At 50.8% G+C, this 21,386-nt stretch overlaps 2 protein-coding genes across 11 annotated transcripts in view, besides 4 other annotated features; both read right to left on the bottom strand.

Moving 5' to 3' along the window:
• GPHN (gephyrin) overlaps window positions 1–21,386 on the bottom strand; it is a 1,227,209-nt gene that overhangs the window by 160,225 nt on the left and 1,045,598 nt on the right. The window lies entirely within an intron of this gene.
• The window catches only part of PLEKHH1 (pleckstrin homology, MyTH4 and FERM domain containing H1), a 56,323-nt gene that overhangs the window by 14,482 nt on the left and 20,455 nt on the right, over window positions 1–21,386 (bottom strand). For 5 of the 10 annotated variants that reach the window (XM_011537009.2, XM_017021500.2, NM_020715.3 and 2 more), the window contains exons 3-14: window positions 19,244–19,306; window positions 17,713–17,862; window positions 15,440–15,523; window positions 13,096–13,177; window positions 12,237–12,994; window positions 5,915–5,993; window positions 5,119–5,210; window positions 3,229–3,379; window positions 2,854–2,996; window positions 1,745–1,855; window positions 1,244–1,330; window positions 728–889 (exon numbers count right to left, since the gene is read on the bottom strand). In XM_011537009.2, the coding sequence (XP_011535311.1) occupies window positions 728–889; window positions 1,244–1,330; window positions 1,745–1,855; window positions 2,854–2,996; window positions 3,229–3,379; window positions 5,119–5,210; window positions 5,915–5,993; window positions 12,237–12,994; window positions 13,096–13,177; window positions 15,440–15,523; window positions 17,713–17,862; window positions 19,244–19,306 (1,962 nt within the window). Of the gene's footprint in view, window positions 1–727; window positions 890–1,243; window positions 1,331–1,744; window positions 1,856–2,853; window positions 2,997–3,228; window positions 3,380–4,901; window positions 4,958–5,118; window positions 10,923–12,236; window positions 12,995–13,095; window positions 13,178–15,439; window positions 15,524–17,712; window positions 17,863–19,243; window positions 19,307–21,386 lie in introns of those variants that run through there. The other 5 variants (XM_017021499.2, XM_017021501.2, XM_047431621.1 and 2 more) reach the window with 4 other exon arrangements.
• Window positions 3,485–3,664: an enhancer, noted in NCBI's record as "active region_8582". NCBI's record gives its function as "activates an Ori minimal core promoter by ATAC-STARR-seq in GM12878 lymphoblastoid cells {active_cell/tissue: GM12878}" and the evidence as "EXISTENCE:reporter gene assay evidence [ECO:0000049][PMID:35858748]".
• Window positions 14,880–15,379: an enhancer, noted in NCBI's record as "H3K27ac hESC enhancer chr14:68026469-68026968 (GRCh37/hg19 assembly coordinates)". NCBI's record gives its function as "activates a minimal SCP1, AML or CMV promoter by ChIP-STARR-seq in primed H9 embryonic stem cells {active_cell/tissue: H9 hESC(primed)}" and the evidence as "EXISTENCE:reporter gene assay evidence [ECO:0000049][PMID:30033119]".
• Window positions 15,380–15,881: an enhancer, noted in NCBI's record as "H3K27ac hESC enhancer chr14:68025967-68026468 (GRCh37/hg19 assembly coordinates)". NCBI's record gives its function as "activates a minimal SCP1, AML or CMV promoter by ChIP-STARR-seq in primed H9 embryonic stem cells {active_cell/tissue: H9 hESC(primed)}" and the evidence as "EXISTENCE:reporter gene assay evidence [ECO:0000049][PMID:30033119]".
• Window positions 17,241–18,440: an enhancer, noted in NCBI's record as "MED14-independent group 3 enhancer chr14:68023408-68024607 (GRCh37/hg19 assembly coordinates)". NCBI's record gives its function as "activates an origin of replication core promoter dependent on BRD2, BRD4, P300/CBP and CDK7 cofactors, and independent of MED14, by STARR-seq in HCT116 cells {active_cell/tissue: HCT116}" and the evidence as "EXISTENCE:reporter gene assay evidence [ECO:0000049][PMID:35650434]".

Genomic DNA, 21,386 nt, shown 5'->3' with positions numbered 1-21,386 from the left:
GCATATGAAAATAGGAAGAACTTGCTAGGTGGCAGAAGCCACAGTTGTCAGGGTGCCGGGAGGGAGGGAGGGAAAACAGCAGGCTGAAGCCCTTGGGCAACCATGCATCATGAAGGAACAGAAGCTGCACACGGGCGAAGGAGAATGACATAAACAGATTGAACGAGAAGCAGAGCCACACAGCGAGCCTGCCAGCCCTGAGCTTGCTGAGTGCAAGTCGCTTTGGTTCCTGCTGGTGTTCTGGTCTAGCTAATGTACTTCCTTGTTAACTTCCATTTTCTTGGGTTTAACAACTGCTTCTCTGCTCTGTTCAACCAGAAGAGCCCTAACAAAAATGTCTTTAGGGCAGGCCTGGGATACTTTAAGTCTTTGAGGAGCCATACCTACCTCGCCCAGGCCTCTTCCTCCCACTATTAACACTGAGGCAGGTATAAGGTGGGGGTGGGTGACAGCCCCTAATGACCTCAAAATGGATACAAGATAGTCCCTTCCCTTCTCTTTCTTGAGAATAGTTGTTCCAACAACCCTGATTTGTTTCCGGGGAATCACTCGCCATCACCTTGTGTGGCCAGACCACGTTTGAGGGCTGGCCAGCGAGTCACTGTGAGGAGGCTCCCAGAGAAAGGAGCCCCGTATAAGGGGGAACCCACCACCCTCGGCACCCCAATCCTGGCTCCCCTGATTCGCAGGAGGCACATGTTCCTGCCCTATCAGCCCCACCCTCTACCTTGGTCAGCCAGCCCTTCACGGTGGGCTTGGTGCCACCCCGAAGCAGAGCTGGAGGCCCGGTGGCCTGCACCTTCAGCAGGCTCTGGAGTACTCGGATCCACTCCTCCAGCAGGCTGGGTGAATCGGCCGTCAGGTAGTAGGTTTTCTTCTCAGAGATGAGCTGTGGAGGGCGAGATATGGGGGTGGGGCAGCACGCTGGGAGAATGGAGTAACCAGGACCTGGCTCCGAGGTGGCACCTGTCCCTGAACCCAAGGGGCTGGCCTTCTGCCTGCCCTAGTGCTCCCTCCTTTCTTTTCCTCCTCATCTTTTCCTCCCTGTCTCTCCTTCCTTCACTCCATCTCTCATATTCTGTCTCATCTTCCTTTCTTGTACTCACAAGTTAGGATCACGTCCAAATGTTGATCTGAAGTCTTTCATTCATGCTCATTTGGCCCCATCTTTGTCTCACTCACGGCCATATCCAAACCCAGCACCTCTTCTGTTTAAAATACTAGCAGCCAGGAGCGTGCTCACCTGAAACGTCTGTGAACCCTCCCCTCGAACAATTTGGCAGCGGGAGTTCAGATCCACTTGGCCTTGAGGTTTCCGGATGACATCACTCTGTAAAGAAAGTATTGGAGAGGAGAGCCACTGAATGTGGAGCCTTTCCGGAGCACCTCATTTACCCTCAGATCTTCCTCCACGTCATAAGCAAAGGGAAACATGATTCCCAGCATTCTGGCTGTGTTATGATGGGTGACTTATTCTAGATTCTGGTTATAGCTAAATGGAACCTTAATCAGGAACATGGGTCCTTCTGAGAACCTCCCTATTTCATTCTGAAACTCACGGCCAGGCTTAGGTCCCCAAGTGTGGCTCAAAGCCTCAGGGGCCCAGTGAGGTTGCCTCTCCCCACCTGCCAGACCTTTGCCCTCTGGCCTTGGGCCACATTCCCCCTCCTCCGTCCCATCTGACATAGTCCAGGGTGTGATGTGGAGACCTTTTGACTGCAGTGCTGGGCGGGGAGACTCTCACCGGGGACTTGTAGTACATAATCTGTCCCTGTCTCAGGACAAACCAGCGCCTCTTCCACGTCTTCACCTGGCTCCCCATTTTCAGCAGGTAGCCCGACTTCTCCAGTGACTCCTGAGGGGTGGAAGGGTGTAGATGAAGAAAGGGGAAATCACTCAGGGCTCCTAGACATCACACAGGTCCAAGTGGTCCAGCTGCCTCACTACTCGGTCATCAATTAAATACAAAATTATTGAGTACCTACTCAGTGTATTTTCAGAGTACCATGCCCTGCTATGGTTCAGAGAGGACTAAATAAAACATGGGTGGTCCTGCCAAGGAAGGGCTCCCATGCTAGCTGGGGAAGACCTCACTATGAGAAGGTAGCAGAGCAGGGGCTGCTAGAGGGAGAGCCTGGCCAGGGAGAGCGTCAGGAGAGAGCCGGCCCTGAGCTGGCCTTGTTAGGATAGTTCAGCCTCTCCCTCAAAGACTGAGAGGAGGAAGAAGACCATTCCAGGCAGCACAGAGCAGGGAGAGGGCAAGGCAGGTCTGGGCAACCTGGACACATCAGCCAGGCAGGACTGGAGGGTCATGGAGCCAGGGAGATGATGGGGCAGCAGAGAGGTGTGGGGCGAGGGATGCGGAATTACATCGGGAGTGGATGCTAGCCCTGGCATGTAGTGGCACAGCTTGGAGCCTCAGGCTTCTCATCCATAAGATGGGCTAATGACCCCAAGAGGATTGTGAGGACAAATGAGACAATGCCTGGAAACTGAGCACAGTGCCTGGTGCCAAGAGTTCAATAAATGTTAGCTTGCGTTAGTATTCCAGGTGATAAAACAAAGTCATATATGGAAAACTCTTCATGGGGCCTGGTGGGCCACAGTAGGCTCTCAGTAACTGGCCATTGCTGGTATTCCAGGAGCTCTCTGGGCTCCCTCCTTCCTTCCTTGTGGGGTCTGTGTGTCTGACTCCATAACTGTACACCCCCCCAGCCCACGCCCCCTGCCCCCATCCCCCAGCTCTAGGGACCCCTCACTTCAGGCAGCTACTGCCTATGTCTTGTGCTGAGGGCCCCAGCAGCCTCTGCTGCATTCTGCTTCCACCCTGCCCCCGCCCGTTTCCCGGCTCACCCCGCCCAGGCCCAGCCCGTCGGTGGAGTAGGATGAGGTGCGCTGCAGTTTGTGCTCAGGCTCTGAGTAGTCACTGTCCAGTGAGCAGGCGTCCGGGGGGATGGCGTAGTCACCCTCGGAGCTCAGTGAGGACATGGAGACGCCTTGCCGAGGGAGGAGGAGTCAAGGCCCGGGTCCCACACCTCCCCGACTCACGCAGCCCAGGAGCTGCTGAGACTTGACCACCCACCCGGGACCCGGTCTCTGGGGCTGGGGGTGGAGCTGCTGGGGGGTCACGAGCTCAGATCAAGTGGGGACGCCCATGTTCAAGTGCCCATGGGAAGAGGTGAGGGGCTCCTTGCTGCTGCACCCTGCCCCTGCTCCCCTTCTCTGTACCTCTCTTGATGGCCCGGGGGCTGCCTAGTCCGCTGGTCTTCCTGGACTCAGAGGAGGGGACCGAGATTCGGAAACTCGCCTGAGAGCTGCAGTCATCGTCAGACCCAGAGGACTCGTCCATAAAGGGCATGTTGCTGATCTGTGTAGCTCTCTGCAAGACAGGCCCCTCCCTCACTGCAGCTCAGGCTGCAAAACAGTCCTCTCCCAACCCTGCAGCTTGCACTCCTGGTCCAAGTGCCCATGGTGTGGCCAACCCCCAGCCGGGACTCTGAACAGACAACTGTCCAGTGTAAGGTCCCTCCTGGCCTCACTCCTGTGTCATGACCTCCATGCTTCTCAGGCCTCCCTTCCCACACACCATCTTCTGTGGTCCCCAAAGCAGCTGCCCATCACGACTGAATGCCTGCCCACTGTGACCCTCGCTCCTTGCCACTAGGGGGCCAGAAAGCTACACCACAGACTAAGTGTGCCATGCGAGCTTTAAAAATGTGTGGGGACGTCGCAACAATCAATGATTGCATCTCCATTGGCAAACATTTAAAGTGACTGACTATCTCAGTGTTGGTGAGAGTATGGGGAGAAGATGGGGGAAAAAACTCTAGTGTGTAAGGCATTTTTAGAAGGTAATTTGGCAGTACCTGTCAAAAATTAAAACATGTATATAATTTGCCCAGAAATCCCACCTCTAGAACTCTGTCCTACAGACACATGTAGATATAAGTTCCCAAAGATATATGTGCACAGTGATGTTCATGGCAACATTCATTTTAGAGAAAAACAGGGACACAGACTAAATTATTATTGGAGGAAAGCTTTAGGTATTAATAGTTATGGTGCTTCGATACCAAGGGTACTGGACACCTATAGAAGGAGGAGGTAGGGGCCAGGCATGGTGGCTCATGCCTGTAATCCTAGCACTTTGGGAGGCTGAGGCAGGCGGATCACAAGGTCAAGAGATCAAGACCATCCTGGCCAACATGGTGAAACCCCGTCTCTACTAAAAATACAAAAATTAGCTGGGCATGGTGGTGCGCGCCTGTAGTTCCAGCTATTCAGGAGGCTGAGGCAGGAGAATCGCTTGAACCCAGGAGGTGGAAGTTGCAGTGAGCCAAGGTTGCACCACTGCACTCCAGCCTGGCAACAGAGCCAGACTCTGTCTCGGAAAAATAAAAAGGAGGAGGTAGGGAAGGATGACCTGACACGTGGTTATTCACGTGGTTAGGGGAACAAGCAAGGCATAGAATGACATGTATATGAGCACCTTTTGTGTGCACACAGGAGACAGTGAGAGTGTGCTGCATATTTATAAATGCATCGGAAGGCCTTACTGAATAAACACTAAACCATTCATGATAGCTTCCTCTGGGCTTAGGAATTAGGGAAAAGCGACGTGAGAGGAAATTTCACTTTTGGTTTTTTATTCTTCTATAAAAAATTTTATCAAGTATTACTATTATTCAAAAACCAGTAACAGAGACAAAAATGTGTATGAAAATATTGCAATTCTATCTGATTTTTGTTTTTAAAATGTAGTGACGTTACGGGAATATAAGTTGGAATATACCTCAGTAATTCTAGAAGGAGCCCCACTGCCCTCTGGGACCTGAGGAGTGAGGCAGACATGAGAAAAGGTGGGGAGAGCTGTAAAGCGGGCATAGGCTTAACCTTCTTACCTTGTCCACGTTCATACTGATTCACATTTTTGTAAATGTGGAATTTTTATAATAACCTAATAAACAATAAAACAAAATGACACGTGCTGGGCTCAGCTCCCTGGGCAGGGTCACCATGTGCAGAAGCCTGGCCCTAGAGCCCCGCCCCAGTCATTGGATGATGAGGCCAGGGGCCTTTCCTGATGAGACACCCCCTCTTTGTGCAGCAGTTTCTTACCCCCTTCAGTGCTGTGTAGACAGGCACAGTGACATTCTTGTAGACCAGGCCAGAGAAAGACCCAGGGGAAACAAGGGCAGGAGGGCTTGAAGCTGAGCAGGGAAGAGAGGAATGAGATTACTCAAGGGCATAACCCAGGAAGGGGTGTGGGGGAAGCAGAGAACTGGGCAGATGGCATTCCCTCCAGGAGCAGGCCAGTGACAGATCTCAAGAGGGGGGCCAGGGCCCTGTTCATCTTCTCCCCTTGACTCCCTTTGGGGACCATGATCTCCATGTGGTAAAGGATCCCTCACAAAAGAATCCAAAAGCCTTACCTTTAACCATTTTTTCCTCCATGAGGCTTGCACAGTGTTCCACTGTTGCAGATGTGAGTTACAAATCATACGGCTATGGGACCACCCCACAGCCCTCGTTGTGGAGATTTGGTGGCTGGCTGGAGAGGAGCCAGTGAGTGGGGTTCATGTAAATCAGGACACTTGTGGCTCCTCCCACCCACGGCCCTGGCACTGCAGAAGCGAAGCCTGTGCAGGTGGGAGGCTGGGCTGGAGGCCCCCTCTCAGATCCCTTCCAGCTCTGTGACTGGCTACTTTCCTGTGATGGGCTGAACCTGTACGACTTCCCTTTCCCTCCTAGGTGGGACTTGCTGTGATTTCACCTGAACTTCACCTGCTGGGGAGGGGAACAGGGTAGGCCAGCCAACCCTGGCCCTGGGTGTTGCTTGGAGTCTTCTCCTCCCCGCTTGCCCACCCTGCCCACCTTGGGTGTTTGGTGCCTCCAAGCCTCACTTGGAACTCACCGCAGCATGCAGTATTACTTCTGGGAGACATATCTGAGAGCCGCATGCCCGATGTGGCCACAGCATAGATCCGGCTCTCCTGAAACAAGAGGTCTCAGGAAGCTCAGGGCCCGGCATGATGCCCATCCCACCCCCTCCAGGCATGTGCAGGAAAAAGCATGGCTTTGGGGGTGGGCAGACCTGTGGGGGGCAGTGACTGGCTAACAAATCTTGGGCAAGTTACTTCATTTCTGAGACTCATTTTCCTCTGCTCTAAATGGAGGTAATAATACTTACCTTTCAGGCTGCTGTGAGAATCAATGAAATACTTAACATAAGCATTTAACACCTGGAATATAATCAGTGCCCAACAGTTCCCTCTCTTGCCTCCACCCTTCACCTTTGGGGCAAAGGAGGTTCAAGAGAAGATGGGTCAGTAAACTGTTGCTCTGAATCCTACCCGTTTTAGAGACCCTTGGGTCTCAAGATCTAACCCCCAGAAGTTGGGGATATTGGTAATGAGGAAGCCACTGCGGCCACACGACAAGGGCTCTTTTGTAAGCCAGTTGTTTGGAACTTAGGGCACATTTTTAAAAAATTCTCTATTGTTTCTTTTTTTAAAAAATAATTTGTTTGTTTTTTAAGTTCCAGGGTACGTATGCAAGATGTGCAGGTTTTTATGTAGGTAAACGTGTGTCATGGTGGTCTACTGCACCTAACAACCCATCACCTAGGTATTAATCCCAGCATGCTTTAGCTCTTTTCCCTAATACTCCCCCACCGCCACCATCCACTGACAGGCCCCACTAAGTATGTTCCCCTCCCTGTGTCCATGTGTTCTCATTGTCCAGCTCCCACTTGTAAGTGAGAACATGCAATGTTTGGTTTTCTTGTTCCTACGTTAGTTTGCTGAAGATAATGGCTTCCAGCTCCATTTATGTCCCTGCAAAGGACATGACCTCATTCCTGTTTATGGCTGCACGGTATTCCATGGTGTATATGTACCACATTTTCTTTATCCAGTCTACCATTGATGGGCATTGGGTTGATTCCATGTCTTTGCTATTGTGAGTAGTGCTGTGATGAACATATGTGGGAACTTAGGGCACGTTTTTTCCCCTGCAGGAATAATGTCATATCATGGCTAGGCTTCAGGGCCAATCTACAAAGCCTATTTAGCCCAACAGGACTCCAGCACCCCCATGCAGAAGACACTGGGAGAATGCCCGTCCTGAGGGGGCCCCTGGGTCTGAAGTAGGCCACAGGCCAAAGGAGCTTTTCCTAATGGCCCTGACTGCTCATAAACAACCCACAGGGTTCCCTGCACCTTCTGGATCTGTTTGCTCCACTGAGCCTAAAGGAAAACAAAGGTGACGTGAGTCACCAAGGCTGACGAGGGAAGGTTGACCAGCCTTTGGAGGAATGCCCTGTTGGCTCAGGGAGGTAGCTAGATGTGCTGTCACCTGGTGGGGTCAGATGGGCTAGGAGATGGCATTGGAAGGGAGGTGGGTGCCTATCAGGGTGTCATCCCAGAGGGGAGCAGCAGCCCTGGGACAACTGGGAGGAGAGAGGGCAGAGCTGATGAGTGCTGCCATGAGACGCTGAGATCACTGGAGGGGCGGCAGGAGACAGAGGGGCGGTGAGGAAGGATGCCAAGGAGGGCCCTGCAGCAGGGCAGGGAGTTTCTGTGCTCGTGTAGGGCAGATACATCGAGCCCAAGTAAAATTCGGCATAAAAAGGATTATTTCTGCCCAGAGTGGTCATGGAATTTAACCAAGGACAAGCCTCTAACTTTGCAGAGGAAATGAAACTGAAGTTTGAAGGATTTAGGTAAAACGAAACCTATGACTGTTTGACAAAATGTTATCTAATGCCTAACTCACAAGGTTGTTTTAAGGATTAACTGAAAAAAGGGCTTTCCAAACTCTAAGATACATAAGTATTTCTCACACCGTCAGATTGAGAAATGTTCTCTGACATTTCATTCCCCCACCGCCCTCCCCAGATGGTTACTGCCCCATTGGTCCTGCCTGGGAGAGAGAGAGGCTGGGCTTCTGGCCACTGTGATTTCTTAAGCTCTCCCCGGAACACGGAACACGAGTGATCATGCCTCAGGGGCCTGGGAAGGAGCTAGCATTGTGTCTTGTTTTCCCCAGGAGCAAGTTACAAAGGGGATTGCAAACAGGATGAGATCTCCTTACATTCTTTTGGCTGATTCTTGGGTCCTTGGGGCCTAGCTGGGGGCAGGGAGGTTCTGTGGGAAGACCTGACGCTGCCCCTTAATACCTTAATCCCCTTAATACCTTCATCACCAGAGTTCAGCTGAGGTTCCTGGGGAGAACGTCATCTGATATATTTTCTATACAGAATAAGAGGAGACAATAACTCCTCGTCTCCCCATTCCTCCTCTCCTCCTCCACCCTCTCTCTCACACACATACACTTAACCTGTTCAGATAGAGAAGACCCACTCTTTTTTTTTTTTTTTTCAAGACAGGGTCTGGCTCTGTCACTCAGGCTGGAGTACAGTGGCAAGATCTTGACTCATGGCAACCTTCACCTCCCTGGGCTCAAACTTAACTTCCACTTAAGCCTCCTGAGTAGCTGGGACTACCGGCATGTGCCACCATGCTCAGCTAATTTTTGTATCTTTTTTGGTAGACATGGGGTTTCGCCGTGTTGCCCAGGTTGGTCTTGAACTTCTGAGTTCAAGCAGTCTACCTGCTTCTGCCTCCCAAAGTGCTGGGATTACAGGTGTGAGCCACTGTACCCGGCTCAAGACCTACTCTTAAGCTATCACAGTGAATGGCTGTATTTTGGCAAAATGGCAAAGTGAGCAACGCTTCTCTCTGGTAGCAGCTGCACATTCCTTGCCTGACTACTTCCTGCTCCCAACCTCTGCATTTGGACTCCAGAGCAAGAAGAGAGCCAGCAGCCCAGGGGGACCAGTGCTTTTCCATCCCCTAGTCTTCCTGATGTGCCCCACTCTTGGCTCAACTGGGTCTCCAGTCTTACAGGTGTCCTTGAAACAACCAGAAGCTGATCAACAGTCACTGCCAAGGATATAGCCCAAAAGTCTAGGGCTGTGTGCCTCCCGAACCAGCATTTCTTTGTTTTGTTTTGGAGATCGTCTCCTCTGTCGCCCAGGCTGGAGTGCAGTGGCGCAATCTCAGCTCACTGCAACCTTCGCCTCCTGGGTTCAAGCGATTCTACTGCCTCAGGCTCCCGAGCAGCCAGACTATAGGCGTGCACCACCATGCCCAAATAATTTTTGTATTTTTAGTAGAGATGGGGTTTCGCCATGTTGGCCAGGCTGGTCTCGAACTCCTGACCTCAAGTGATCTGCCTGCCTCAGCCTCCCAAAGTGCTGGGATTACAGGCATAAGCTACTGAGCCCGGATTTGAACCAGCATTTCAAAAGGAGGCCCTGGGAGTTACTGCTGGAAATACAGGTCTCCCGAGCAGTGGTGTGGGGTGAGTCCACCCTGATGTCACCCCCTCTCCCAAGTGACCTCATTCCTCCTGCTGCCAGGAGCCAACGCTTAGCTGTCCCCCATGGTACTGCTACACACCCCAGCAGCATCTGTGGAGGGGATGTCTGCCCATGAATCAAAGACTGACCTTAGCTCTGGCAATGTCCCTTAAGAGGAAGTACAGCTGGAATGTGAGAGCTGGGCTTCAAAGCAGCTGGAACTACATTTAAAGCCTGGCTCTCAGACCGGGTAAGGTGGCTCTTATGGCTGACAAAGGAGGATCACTTGAGGCCAGGAGTTTGAGACTAGCCTGGGCAACATAGGGATACTCCATCCCTACAAAAAATTTAAAAAATTAGCCAGGTGTGGTGGTGTGCACCTGTAGTCCCAGCTGCTCAGAAGGCTGGGGTGGAAAGATCCCTTGAGTCCAGGAGTACAAGGCTGCAGTGGACTGTGATTGTGCCACTGCACTCCAGCCTGAGTGACAGAGCAAGACACCGTCTCTCAAGTAAATAAATAAATAAAGCCTGGCTCCCTCACTAACTACTACATGACCTTGGGCAAGTACCTAAGTCTGTGGGGAACAGTGGTTTCCTGACCTGTAAAAGGGAGAAACCACACCTTACTCCTTGCAAGGAAAGGAGCCCTTCCCACAGGCTCCGTGCGAAGCCCTTAATACCCACATGCCATTTTCACTAGTGACCTGTGAAATGTCATTTTTATAGCCTGTCTCATTTTTATTTTAACTTTTTATCATGGAAAATGTCAGGTACAGGGCCAGACACAGTGGCTCACACCCGTAATCCCAGCACTTTGGGAGGTCAAGGTGGGAGGACCACCTGAGCCTGGGAGTTCGAGACCAGCCAGGGCAACAGCATAGTGTTAGCCCATCTCCACAAAAAATTAAAAAATAGCTGGGCATGGTGGTGCATGCCTGTAGTGCCAGCTACTCGGGAGGCTGAGGTGGGAGAATTGCTTGAGCCCGGGAAGTTGAGGCTGCAGTGAGCCATGATTGCACCATTGCACTCCAGCCTGGGCAAGACTGAGCAAGACTCTGTCTCAAAAAAAAAAAAGGAAAAGAAAAAAAAAATGTCAGCCTGGCCAACATAGTGAAACCCTGTCTCTACTAAAAATACAAAAATTAGCCAGGCATGGTGGTGCATGCCTGTAGTCCCAGCTACTTAGAAGGCTGAAGTAGGAGGATTGCTTGAGCCCAGGAGGCAGAGGTTGCAGTGAGCCAATATTGCGCCACTGCACTCCAGCCTGGGCGACAGAGTAAAACCCTGTCTCAGTTAAAAAAAGAATGATCTCACGTGCCCATCGCCCAGCTTGGCAAAGGTTAATGATGTGTGGCCAGTCATGCTTCATCTGTGTCCCCACCCTTGGCCACCAACCAGATCATTGCTTCTGAAGTATTTCTACCAGACAGATATCAAGACATTTTATCCAATGTTACAAGTAAGGAAGCTGGCCTGGCGCAGTTGCCTATAATCCCAGCACATTGAGAGGCCTAGGCAGGTGAATCACTTGAGGTCAGGACTTTGAGACTAGCCTGGCCAACATGGTGAAACCCCGACTCTACTAAAAATATAAAAATTACACTTTGGGAGGCTGAGGCGGGCGGATCACGAGGTCAGGAGATCGAGACCATCCTGGCTAACATGGTGAAACCCCGTCTCTACTAAAAATACAAAAAATTGGCCGGGCGTGGTGGCAGGTGCCTGTGGTCCCAGCTACTTGGGAGGCTGAGGCAGGAAAATGGCGTGAAACTGGGAGGCAGAGCTTCCAGTGAGCTGAGATTGTGCCACTGCACTCCAGCCTGGGCAACAGAGCAAGACTCTGTCTCAGAAAAAAAAAAAAAACAGTTAGCCGGGCATGGTGGCACACACCTGTAATTCCAGCTACTTGGGAGGCTGAGGTGGGAGTACCACTTGAACCTGGGAGGCGGAGGTTGCAGTGAGCCGAGACCGTGCTACTGCACTTCAGCCTGGGTGACAGAGCAAGACTCTGTCTCGAAAAAAAAAAAAAAAAAAAGCCAGGCTCAGTGGCTCATACTTACAATCCCAGCACTTTGGGAGGCCCAAGAGGGTGGATCACCTGAGGTCAGGAGTTTGAGGCCAGCCTGACCAACATGGTGAAACCCTGCCTCTACTAAAAATACAAAATTAGCTGGGCGTGGTGGTGCATGCCTGTAATCCCAGCTACTTGGGAGGCTGAGGCGGGAGAATTGATTGAACCCAGGAGGCAGAGGTTACAGTGAGCCAAGATCATGCTATTGCACTCCAGCCTGGGCAGTAAGAGTGAAACTCTGCCCCCTCACCCCCACCCCCCAAAAAAAAGAAAAGAAAAAGAAAAACAAAGAAAGAAAAATAGCCAACACTTACCTACCACCTACTGTGAACCACTACTGTAAGTACTTTCACAACAACCCTATAAAGTAGGTACTATTATCCCCATTTTATAGACAGGGAAGCTGAGGCACAGAGGTTCAGTAACATGTCCAAGGTCACGTAGTTAACAGTTCAACCCTAGTGGTTTGCTTCTGGGGCCTATGCTCTTGACCATCATACCAGACCACCTGAAAGACTCACAAAGATTAAATGAGAAAAGGTATGCAGGGCACCCAGCTCAATGTATGGTGCACGGTGAGCACTCAGGAAATGACAGCCAACCGCCATTCACATCATTCTGAATTCTGGCGCTGACCCTCACTGGTTGTGTGGTCTGCACAGGCTCCATGGTACCTGCCTGCCAGGGCCACCATGAGGATGCCAGCAGCCTCCTCTCCTGCTCAGTGCATGGCTGTGCTCAGCCAGCAGTGTTCTTGCCATTAGCTCTGCTCCTCTGCCCAGCCCGGAGGTTGCCTCTTACCCAGGATGAAAACTGGTGCAGCGGGGGTGTAGGTGGCTTGTTACCCAGCTCCACTTCCTCCAGCTCAGCTCCAAGGGCCTTTGGGCTCTCTCTTTCCTCATTCTTCCCTGCTGGGGGTGGCTCCTCCATCTCCATCTTCTCTGGTTCCTCCCGGGACCTAGCTCGGGACTCCAGCTCAGGAAGGCCAGAGGGGTGGAGGGCTGAGAAGGCCTCAGTCTCAATGTTCACCACACGGCCAAAGTGCCCATGGCCCACCTGGGGCTGGCTGTGGTGCCTTTTGGCCAACTGGATGCTGTCCCGCGGGGTGCCAGGAGCCCGCACCTTTGGTAGGGTCAGACTGCTGCCAGGACCACCTTCCCTGGCAGAGGTCTTTGTCCCAGGGAGCATCCCTCTCTGAGCAGTAACCAGACCCTCACCCCAGGAAGCTGAACTACATCTGAAGGTAAGAAGCTTCATGCATGGCTGGTGGGGAGGGCTCTCTCTTCCCAGATGAGGTTGAAGGGGCTTGGCCTCTACTGTTTCCCCAGAATGGACCGTGCTGGAACTAGAATCCTCCAAGGGGCTTGCTGCTTCAGAAACAGAGTCCTTGCTCTGCAGGGCACCTGGGGAAGGTGCAAGCACAGCTGCCTTCAGACCCTGGGCCTGGGAGCCACTGTCCTGGCCCATAGGCTGGATTCCCGGCTCTGAAGGGACAGAATCCTGCTCTGCAGCTCCGTAGGGGGGCACCAGCAGCTTCCGTGAAGGAGCTATCTGAATAGCTGTGATTCGGGTAAAAACAGTCACATTGAGAGCTCCCGTAGCTCAGCCCCATACCCACCAAACACACGTACTGCACACCTGCACACCCTGGCCTGCCTACCTTCTAGCGCATCTTGAAGGGATCCCACCTGCTCCACCAGGCGCTGATTATGGCTTTTCAGATGCTGATTCTCCATCTCAAGCTGAGCAAAAAGAAAAATGAAGATTTAGGACACCCAGCCTACAGGTTTAGATGTATTTTTTCAATTCTTTTTTTTTTTTTTTTTGAGACAGGGTCTTGCTCTGTTGGCCAGACTGAATTGCAGTGGAGCAATTTTGGCTCACTGCAGCCTTGACCTCCCAGGCCCAACTGATCCTCCCACCTCAGCCTCCTGAGTAGCTGGGACCATAGACACACACCACCAGGCCCAGTTAATTTCGTTTATTTTTTTGTAGAGACAAGCTCTCGCTATGTTGCCCAGGCTGGTCCCAAATTCCTGGACTCAAACGATCTGCCCACCTCAGCCTCCCAGAGTGCTGGGATTACAGGCATGTGCCACTGAGCGTGGCTGCTGCATATTCTTTTCTTTTCTGAGACAAGGTCTGGCTCTATCACCCAGGCTGGAGTGCAGTGGTGCAATCTTGGCTCACTGCAACCTCTGCCACCAGGGCTCAAACCATCCTCCCACCTTAGCCTCCCACCTCAGCCTCCCGAGTAGCTGGGACTACAGGTGCACGCCACTATGCCCGGCTAATTTTTGTATTTTTTGTAGAGACAGAGATTTGCCATGTTGGCCAGGTTGGTCTCAAACTCCTAGTGTCGAGCAATCCACCCGCCTAGGTCTCCCAAAGTGCTGCTGGGACTACAGGTGTGAGCCACTGCCCCCAGCCTGCATTTTCCTTTAAATTAAGTCCAACACACTTTTATTGAGTATCTTTTAGCAAGGGTTGGGACTGTGAGAATACGCAGGTAAGCCAGGCATCAGTTCTGTCTCCAAGAACTTGCAGTCTAGCAGGTGACCTGAGATGTACATCCAAAGAAGGGGATAGGAGGCCAAATGAGCTGATACCCTCCTGCAGGTGTGAACCACTTGTGTGAGGACAGAGGAAAAGATGTATGTTTGTCAGCCGGGTGTGGTGGCTCACACCCGTAATCCTAGCACTTTGGGAGGCTGAGGCGGGCAGATCACCTGAGGTCAGGAGTTCAAGACTAGCCTGGCCAACATAACGAAACCCCGTCTCTACCAAAAGTACAAAAATTAGCCAGGCGTGGTGGCGTGTGCCTGTAATCCCAGCTACTCAGGAGGCTGAGGCAGGAGAATTGCTTGAACCCAGGAGGCAGAGGTTGCAGAGAGCCGATATTGTGCCATTGCACTCCAGCCTGGGAAACAAGAGCGAGACTCCGTCTCAAAAAAAAAAAAAAAAAAAAGATATATGTTCATCCTTTTCCAAACTGCAATTCCCACTCCTTTTATTTAGAAGGAGGTTGTTTTCTGTCTGTTGGTGATAGCACTGTAGCTTCAAGTCCTGAGTTTCCTAAATAAAGGTACAGCACGTGATAAACTACAAAAATGGATAGATAGAGAGGGAAGGTGGAATAGAGGTTACCAGGCGATGGGGGAAGAGAGAATGGGAAGTTAGTGTTTAGCAGGTACAGAGTTTCTGTTTGGAAAAATTTTAGACATAGATAGCAGTGATGGCTGCACAACACTGTGAATGTACTTAATGCCACTGAATTGCTGAATTGTACACTTAAATGGTACATTTTATGTATATTTTACCACACACACACAAATAGTTAAAAAGAATGAAGAGGATGGAAGAGAAAGTAGCAGGGCACGGTGGTTCCCTCCTTTAATCCCAGCACTTTGGGAGGCCGAGGTGGGTGAATCACCTGAGGTCAGGAGTTCGAGACCAGCCTGGCCAACATGGTGAAACCTGTCTCTACTAAAAATACAAAAATTAGCTGGGCATGGTGGTGCGTGCCTGTAACCCCAGCTACTCAGGGAGGCTGAGGCACGAGAATCGGTTGAACCCGGGAGGCGGAGGTTGCGGTAAGCCGAGATTGCGCCACTACACTCCAGCCTGGGCGAGAGAGCGAGACTCTGTCTCCAATAAATAAATAAATAAATAAAAATAAAAGAGAAAGTGGAGAGAGTGGACACTGGCCTGTGTGGGCTTCCTAGAAAGAAACTGAGGGGGCTTTTCAGAAGTGAGACACATTCCTTCTCGCAAACTTAAATCCAGCACCAAGCTAGTCAGGAGCTCCAGGGAGACCCAACCAAGACAAAAGGAAAGGGGAAGTGAACTACGGTGTCTCAGCATGGAGGCTGAATGCAAAACAAGTGCTGGACAGAATGAAGGTCAGCCGAGGCACCCTAGACAGTAGGGGGCAGGAAACTCCGGGGGTCAGGGCAGGCCCAGCCATGCCTCTGGCAGGCCTCCAAGATGAGTTTCCAACCCACCTTTGCCAACTTGAGTGTCACCCATTCCTTGATCTTTGCAGCTTTTTCTTGAACAGTTTTTGCTTCCTCTGCCCTCATCTGCTTCTGCAAGAAAGAGAGGGCCTTCCGTTAATCCCAACAATCACCAGGAGAGTGACTGACTGGAGGTGGGAAACCCCAAGAAAGGCCAAGTGTGCGTGCCACTGACCTCGCAAAGCCAGTGAGCAGAAATCGTTTGTTGAAATATTATTTGATAAGGTAACACAAAATTTAAAAACTCAAAACTGGAAATAGTCTAAGTGTTCACCACGAAGGGGTTGGCTGAATAAACGCGGCATATCCCTGACATGGAAGGAGAACGCTGTGCCTCCATATGCAAGCAAAGTTAATAGTGAGGAGTAGAAATCAAGGACTGGGGAGGGAGAGAGAGGTGACTTGTCATTTTATACTCCTCTGGCCGTTTTTTTATTTTTAACTATAAGCATGTGTTACCTTTATAGTTAAAAAACAAAAAAATAAGGCAAAATTGCAGATAACTGAGGTATTTCCATCAAAGTAGTCAAAAGAGGAGATGATTGAAAAGGTTGGCATCTGAAGAGGAGCAGCCTGGCTGGGCATGGTGGCTCATGCCTATAATCCCAGCATCAGACAACGTCAGACTCTCAGTATTTCAGAGCTGGAAGGACCTTAAAGGTCATCTAGTTTAAGGTGTGGCAAACAATGGCCTTCAGGCCACATCCAGTCCTCCACCTGCTTGCCCCCACCCAGACCTGTTTTTGTAAATAAAGTTGCATTGTAATACAGCCATGCTCATTCATTTACGTATTATCTGTGGCTGCTTCCATGTTACAACAGCAGCTTTGACCAGTTGCAACAGAGACCTGTGGCCCACAAAACATAAAATAGTTACTACCTGGACTTTACAGAAAAAGTCGGCCAACCCTGACCTGGTTTGATATTGTCTTTGTGCTTCTGTGGCAACTAAGGCTATGGCAAGAAGTGACTTGCCTCTGTCCATTCATGGCACAGCTGGGACTAAAACCAGGTCTCTTGACTCACAAAACAGTGCCTTTTCTTTTATGAGATTGACCTACTGATTCCAATTGTAAAATGACCTTTTTTCTGACCTAAGGAGCTTTAGCAGGAGTCATTTTGTCCACCAACCCCCAAGATGCTGCCACTTCTAACTATGAGCTACTCAGAAGAGAAGGTATGTCTAAAATCAATGGAAGAATTGATCAGAGATTCCATGTGTCAAAATTCTATTCTTCCATCAATTTTCAGGAGCACATGGTACCCCACAGCATACAAAGGCACCTCCATTAAGGGCCTATTGGGTTAATGCTGATGGGTAAACATGAATCTGCCCATTATGGTTGGAAGGCACCACCAGGATCGGCTTCTCCTACATGGAGAAGGCATGTGTAGGAAATTAAAAGTCATCTGTCCAGACTGTGGGGTGTTTAGTTGGAAATGATGGCATTCTGGCACGAGGGGAAAGCTGGGTAGGTAAGGCCAGTGGCAGAGGAAAGGGACAGAACTGGGATGGAGTTGGTGAGATTGTGAAGGGGAGAAGGCAGGACACAGGAACTGGCAGGTAGATGTTCCAGAAGTCCTCTCAGGAGCAAAGGTGCCAAGTGGAGCTGAAATGCTGGGCAGTGGCCTCTCCTGGGCTCCCATGTGCTCAGAAGGGAAGACCCTGGTTTTCTGAGGAGGCAACAACTTTGGTCTCTGCCTCTTCAGCTTCACTAAGAAACTTTGGGCAACCAGCTGGCCACGACTGACCATCCAGCTCTGTGCAGCTCTGATCATACTACAGCCAAGTATCAAGTATCTCATCTTGGCAGGGCACGACAAGGCCAGAATGGAGAAAGAAAAGTTCTCCTTACCAAGTACTGACCACGTGCCTGACACTAGGCACAGGTCACATAGGTTGCCTCTCCCAGCAGCTCTATGAGGTGTTTCCACCCTTCTTTTATAAATGTGTAAAATAAGAATCAGTGACTTAAACACTTTGCCCACTGTCAGAGGCAGCAGGTGCTAGAGGTGGGCTTCACACCCAGATCAGTCTGCCTCCAAGCTCCTTTTTCTACTCTATCCCCTGCCTGGCTTCTAATGAGCAGATGTGGGAGGAACAGTCCTTCCTATAATTAAATTTTCACATAAAAGAATAGGCTCAGGAGGGAGCGAGTTCCCCAGCACTAGAGGGCTTGAGCGGAACAGCTCAGGAAGCTGGGGGCCAGCAGTACAGATGTCGAAGAGGGCATGGTGCTCCCTTGCGCATGAGCCCTTACCTGCTTCTCCAGCTGAGCCTCTAGCTGGCTGATGAGCTCATCTTTGCCCTTTATGGCTTTCAGCAATTCTTGGTATTTCCGGTGCAGGCTCCCCTCAGAGTCCACATTCTTCAGATTGGATAGTTTTACCTTCTCTTCCATGACACCCACCTGAAAAGTACAATGATCTCATAGTGTCTTCCCATCACTCACACGGGGTGTGCAGTGGCCAGTAACGTGGGATGGGACACCGTCTGATGCCCCAGGCTGTGACTCCCAGGCACAGCCCTTACCCAGGGCAGTCTGAGCCAATTAATTCAATTAAGTTCCAATCTGAGCAAAAGAAGGACTGACAAAGAAGAAACTCATTTTGGCCACTCTAGGTCATAGTTAGTAATGGAGAGATAGGTAAGAGGAGGGCAGAGGAGACGATAAGTGGAAAAAGCAGCTGGGTCTTGTGCCATTGACCTCTGTGGATCCCAGGAGGAATGAGTTGGGCAGGACAAACAGCCTAGGAGAGCAACTGTCCCAACCCCACCGTGGTAGAGATATTTACTGTTCACTGGACAGCCATGTGCTGACCCATATTTCTCAACCCTTCTGCAGCTAGATGGAGCCATGTCATTGATCCAACCAATGGGGTCCAAGTGGAAATGGTGCATCATTTCTAGACTCAAGTATGTATGTATGTATATATTTATTTAAAATTTTTTTAAAACAGATAAGATCTTGCTATATTGCCCAGGCTAGATTCAAACTCCTGATGTCAAGAGATCCTCTCGCCTCAGCCTCCCAAGTAGCTGGGACCATAGGTGCATACCGTCACACCCCGCTGGGCTTAAGTATTTAAAAGCTGGTGCAGGGTGGGTGTGGTGGCTCATACCTGTAATCCCAGCACTTTGGGAGGTTGAGGCAGGAGGACTGCTTAAACCCCAGGAGTTCAAGACCAGCCTGGGCAAATAGTGAGATCCTGTCTCTATTTAAAAAATAAAATAAATAAATAAGGCTAGGCACAGTGGCTCACGCCTGTAATCTCAGCACTTTGGGAGGCTGAGGTAGGTGGATAGCTTGAGCCCAGCAGTTTGAGACCAGCCTGGGCAACATAGCAAGACCCCATCTCTAATAAAAAATACATCCAGCTTTCTTTCCTTGCCATGGCAACCAAGAAGGCTGCGCATTCCAAGTGGTCCAGCTATAAGATAGGCAAGCCTCCTTTAACCTGGATTCCTGAGTGACTGTGGAAGCGGAATCACTGGCTAACCCTCAATGGACAGGTTCCACGAGTGAGAACTAAATGTGATAAACCACTGAGACTTCAGACTTAATTTGTTACCACAGCATAGTCTAGCCTATTTGGACTACTATGCCCACTTGCTACACTGATCTTTACCCAGAGACTCTACTCCCACAGAAAGCTCCACGCACACTCATTTGTTCAGGTATAACACAGTACTGCTGGTGATGTATGTGTCCACCTGTGTCCGTGGGAAGGGCCTGGAAGGGCCGACGGTCATTCCCCTGCATATTCCCGCCGATCCCCTCCCCTGGTTACCTGGGTCTCAGCGTTCTCTGCTCTCTGCTCTGCCTCCAGCAGCCTCTGCTCCAGCTCCTGCATCTGCTTGGCCAGAGAGAAAGGGGAGATGTAGGTGCCATGTCCCTACTGTGAACACGGCATCAAGGCCACTTTAGAGAACTGTGCACACACTGCACACAGGCCAGACTTCAAGTGCCCATCTCAAGTGGCTCGAGAGTGTCAGGGTAAGGATTTTCAAGGCAACTCTCAGCTCCCTAATCCTGAGTTCATGGGGCAGGTGAAGAGCCCGTGGCTGCTGTCCTCTCTACTGAGGGAGTGGAGGCCCAGCTCTTTTGTCCTGATGGAGGGTGTCCGGGGAGGGCAGCAGCTCCACTGTCATTCTTCCTGAGCATCCCACCCTGTCCTGGCTTCAGTCTCCCCTTCCTGAGGCCCCTTTCCTCTCAGCATTGGGTCGAAGGTGGGGCCATGCTGCTGCTCCCATAGGGCCCACCCTGTGTCATCGATAGAAAACACTTCTCCCCACTCAGAATATCTCACTGGTTGGGGATGAATACCTCCTCACCCACAGTCGAGGGCACCTCTGCCTGTAAGGGCTTCAGGGCTATCACCTTATTTGATTTCTTGAATCTTAAAGAACTAGAAAGAGAAAGAGAGGCTCAAGATACATTTTTCAAAATTCTATCTTGCGAGCTGGTCACAGTGGCTCATGCCTGTAATCCCAGCACTTTGGAAGCCTAAGGCGGGAAGATCACTTGAGCCCTGGAGTTCAAGACCAGCCTGGGCAACATATCAAGACCTCATCTCTACTAAAATTTTTCTTTTTTAATTAGCTGAGCGTGGCGGTGTGCGCCTGTAGTCCCAGCTACTCAGGAGGCTGAGGCAGGCGGATCACTTGAGCCTGGGAGGTTGAAGCTGTAGTGAGCTGAGATGGCACCACTGCACTCCAGCCTGGGTGACACAGCAAGGTCCTGTCTCAAAAAAAAATTTAAAAAAGTAAAAATTCTGTCTTGCTGCCAGTAGAGGCATGTCACTCAAGGCTGAGGAGCATGGAAATTCTGGATATTACACCAAGTGGCCCAAGCAAAGGGACTGAAGTTCTTGTACGTGGAGGCTCTTCAGGGACCAGACCTAAGCTGAAGACTAAAGAGCTGCTCACGAGCCCACAGCCTACATGGCATCTCTTTGCAGCTTCTCAAGCTCATGGCTTGGCAAGTGAAGTGTGCGTTAGATGTCAGCTCCCATTCTTCCCCTGCCAGGGCACCACCGTGTGCTGCCCAATTGGACATCATCACATGGAGGACCCGCAGAAGCAGAGCAAATTCATGCATCCCGCTCTCATGTCTAACACCATGTGCCAAGCCTAGCTGGGGCTGCTGCTTCCTTCCCCAGCCTGCCTTGTCCCAGAGTAACACATATGCATCATACATGTCCCAGAGGCGTTGCATCCCAGCCACGCCTTCCACGAGGCTGGACAGGCCCAGTGCCCCTCACTTCCCAAGTTCCAGCCCAACCTCCTCTCTAAGGATTTGGCCTCTTCTCTGGCTACTCAACCTTCTCCCTTCAGCCTGGACCCTAGCTGATATTTACCAGTGAACTGATCAATCCTTCTCTCTTTCCCAATCTCTCAGCTGAAATTCTGCTTTCCTTAATTAAAAGGTAGATGAGCAGGACCCCCCAGCCTGCTGCTAGACAGTGAGAGGAAAGTTACATGGAAGCAGTAGTTCATATTTGGGAACCTGGGGGATCTCTTTGCTCAGGGTGGCCTTCCCTCATCCATTTTTTTCTCCTTTCTGGGACTGGGGAGACACAGATGCTTTCGGGGCACATTCCCTTGGACAGAGAGTTAGAGTTATGCTCATCCGAAGATCCCAAGTAAAACTCAAGACTTACAACCCATATGGGACAAAAATGCCCTGGTGCTCCCATGGATAGGGCCCCCTCTGACAGGCATTCACGTGTTCAAGCCAAGGATACCCACATCCCTTCTTTCCTTCCTCTCTTGCGGTAACACTACTGAAACCTCTAGATGGAAGCTGAGTGGGTGGGTTGGTTCTGGTCAGTTTCAGGCATCGGTTTGAGCCAGATGGACTGTCCTAAGTCAAACAGTCCTCAGGCCTGTCCCAGAGGAGTTCCTTGACCTTCACACAGTTGCCATGCAGCC

This window comes from Homo sapiens, chromosome 14 (assembly GCF_000001405.40).
Source record: "Homo sapiens chromosome 14, GRCh38.p14 Primary Assembly".
NCBI classification, from domain to species: Eukaryota; Metazoa; Chordata; class Mammalia; order Primates; family Hominidae; genus Homo; species Homo sapiens.
The sequence above is the reverse complement of the archived record's forward strand: the minus strand, read 5'-3'. Positions and strand labels throughout refer to the sequence as shown.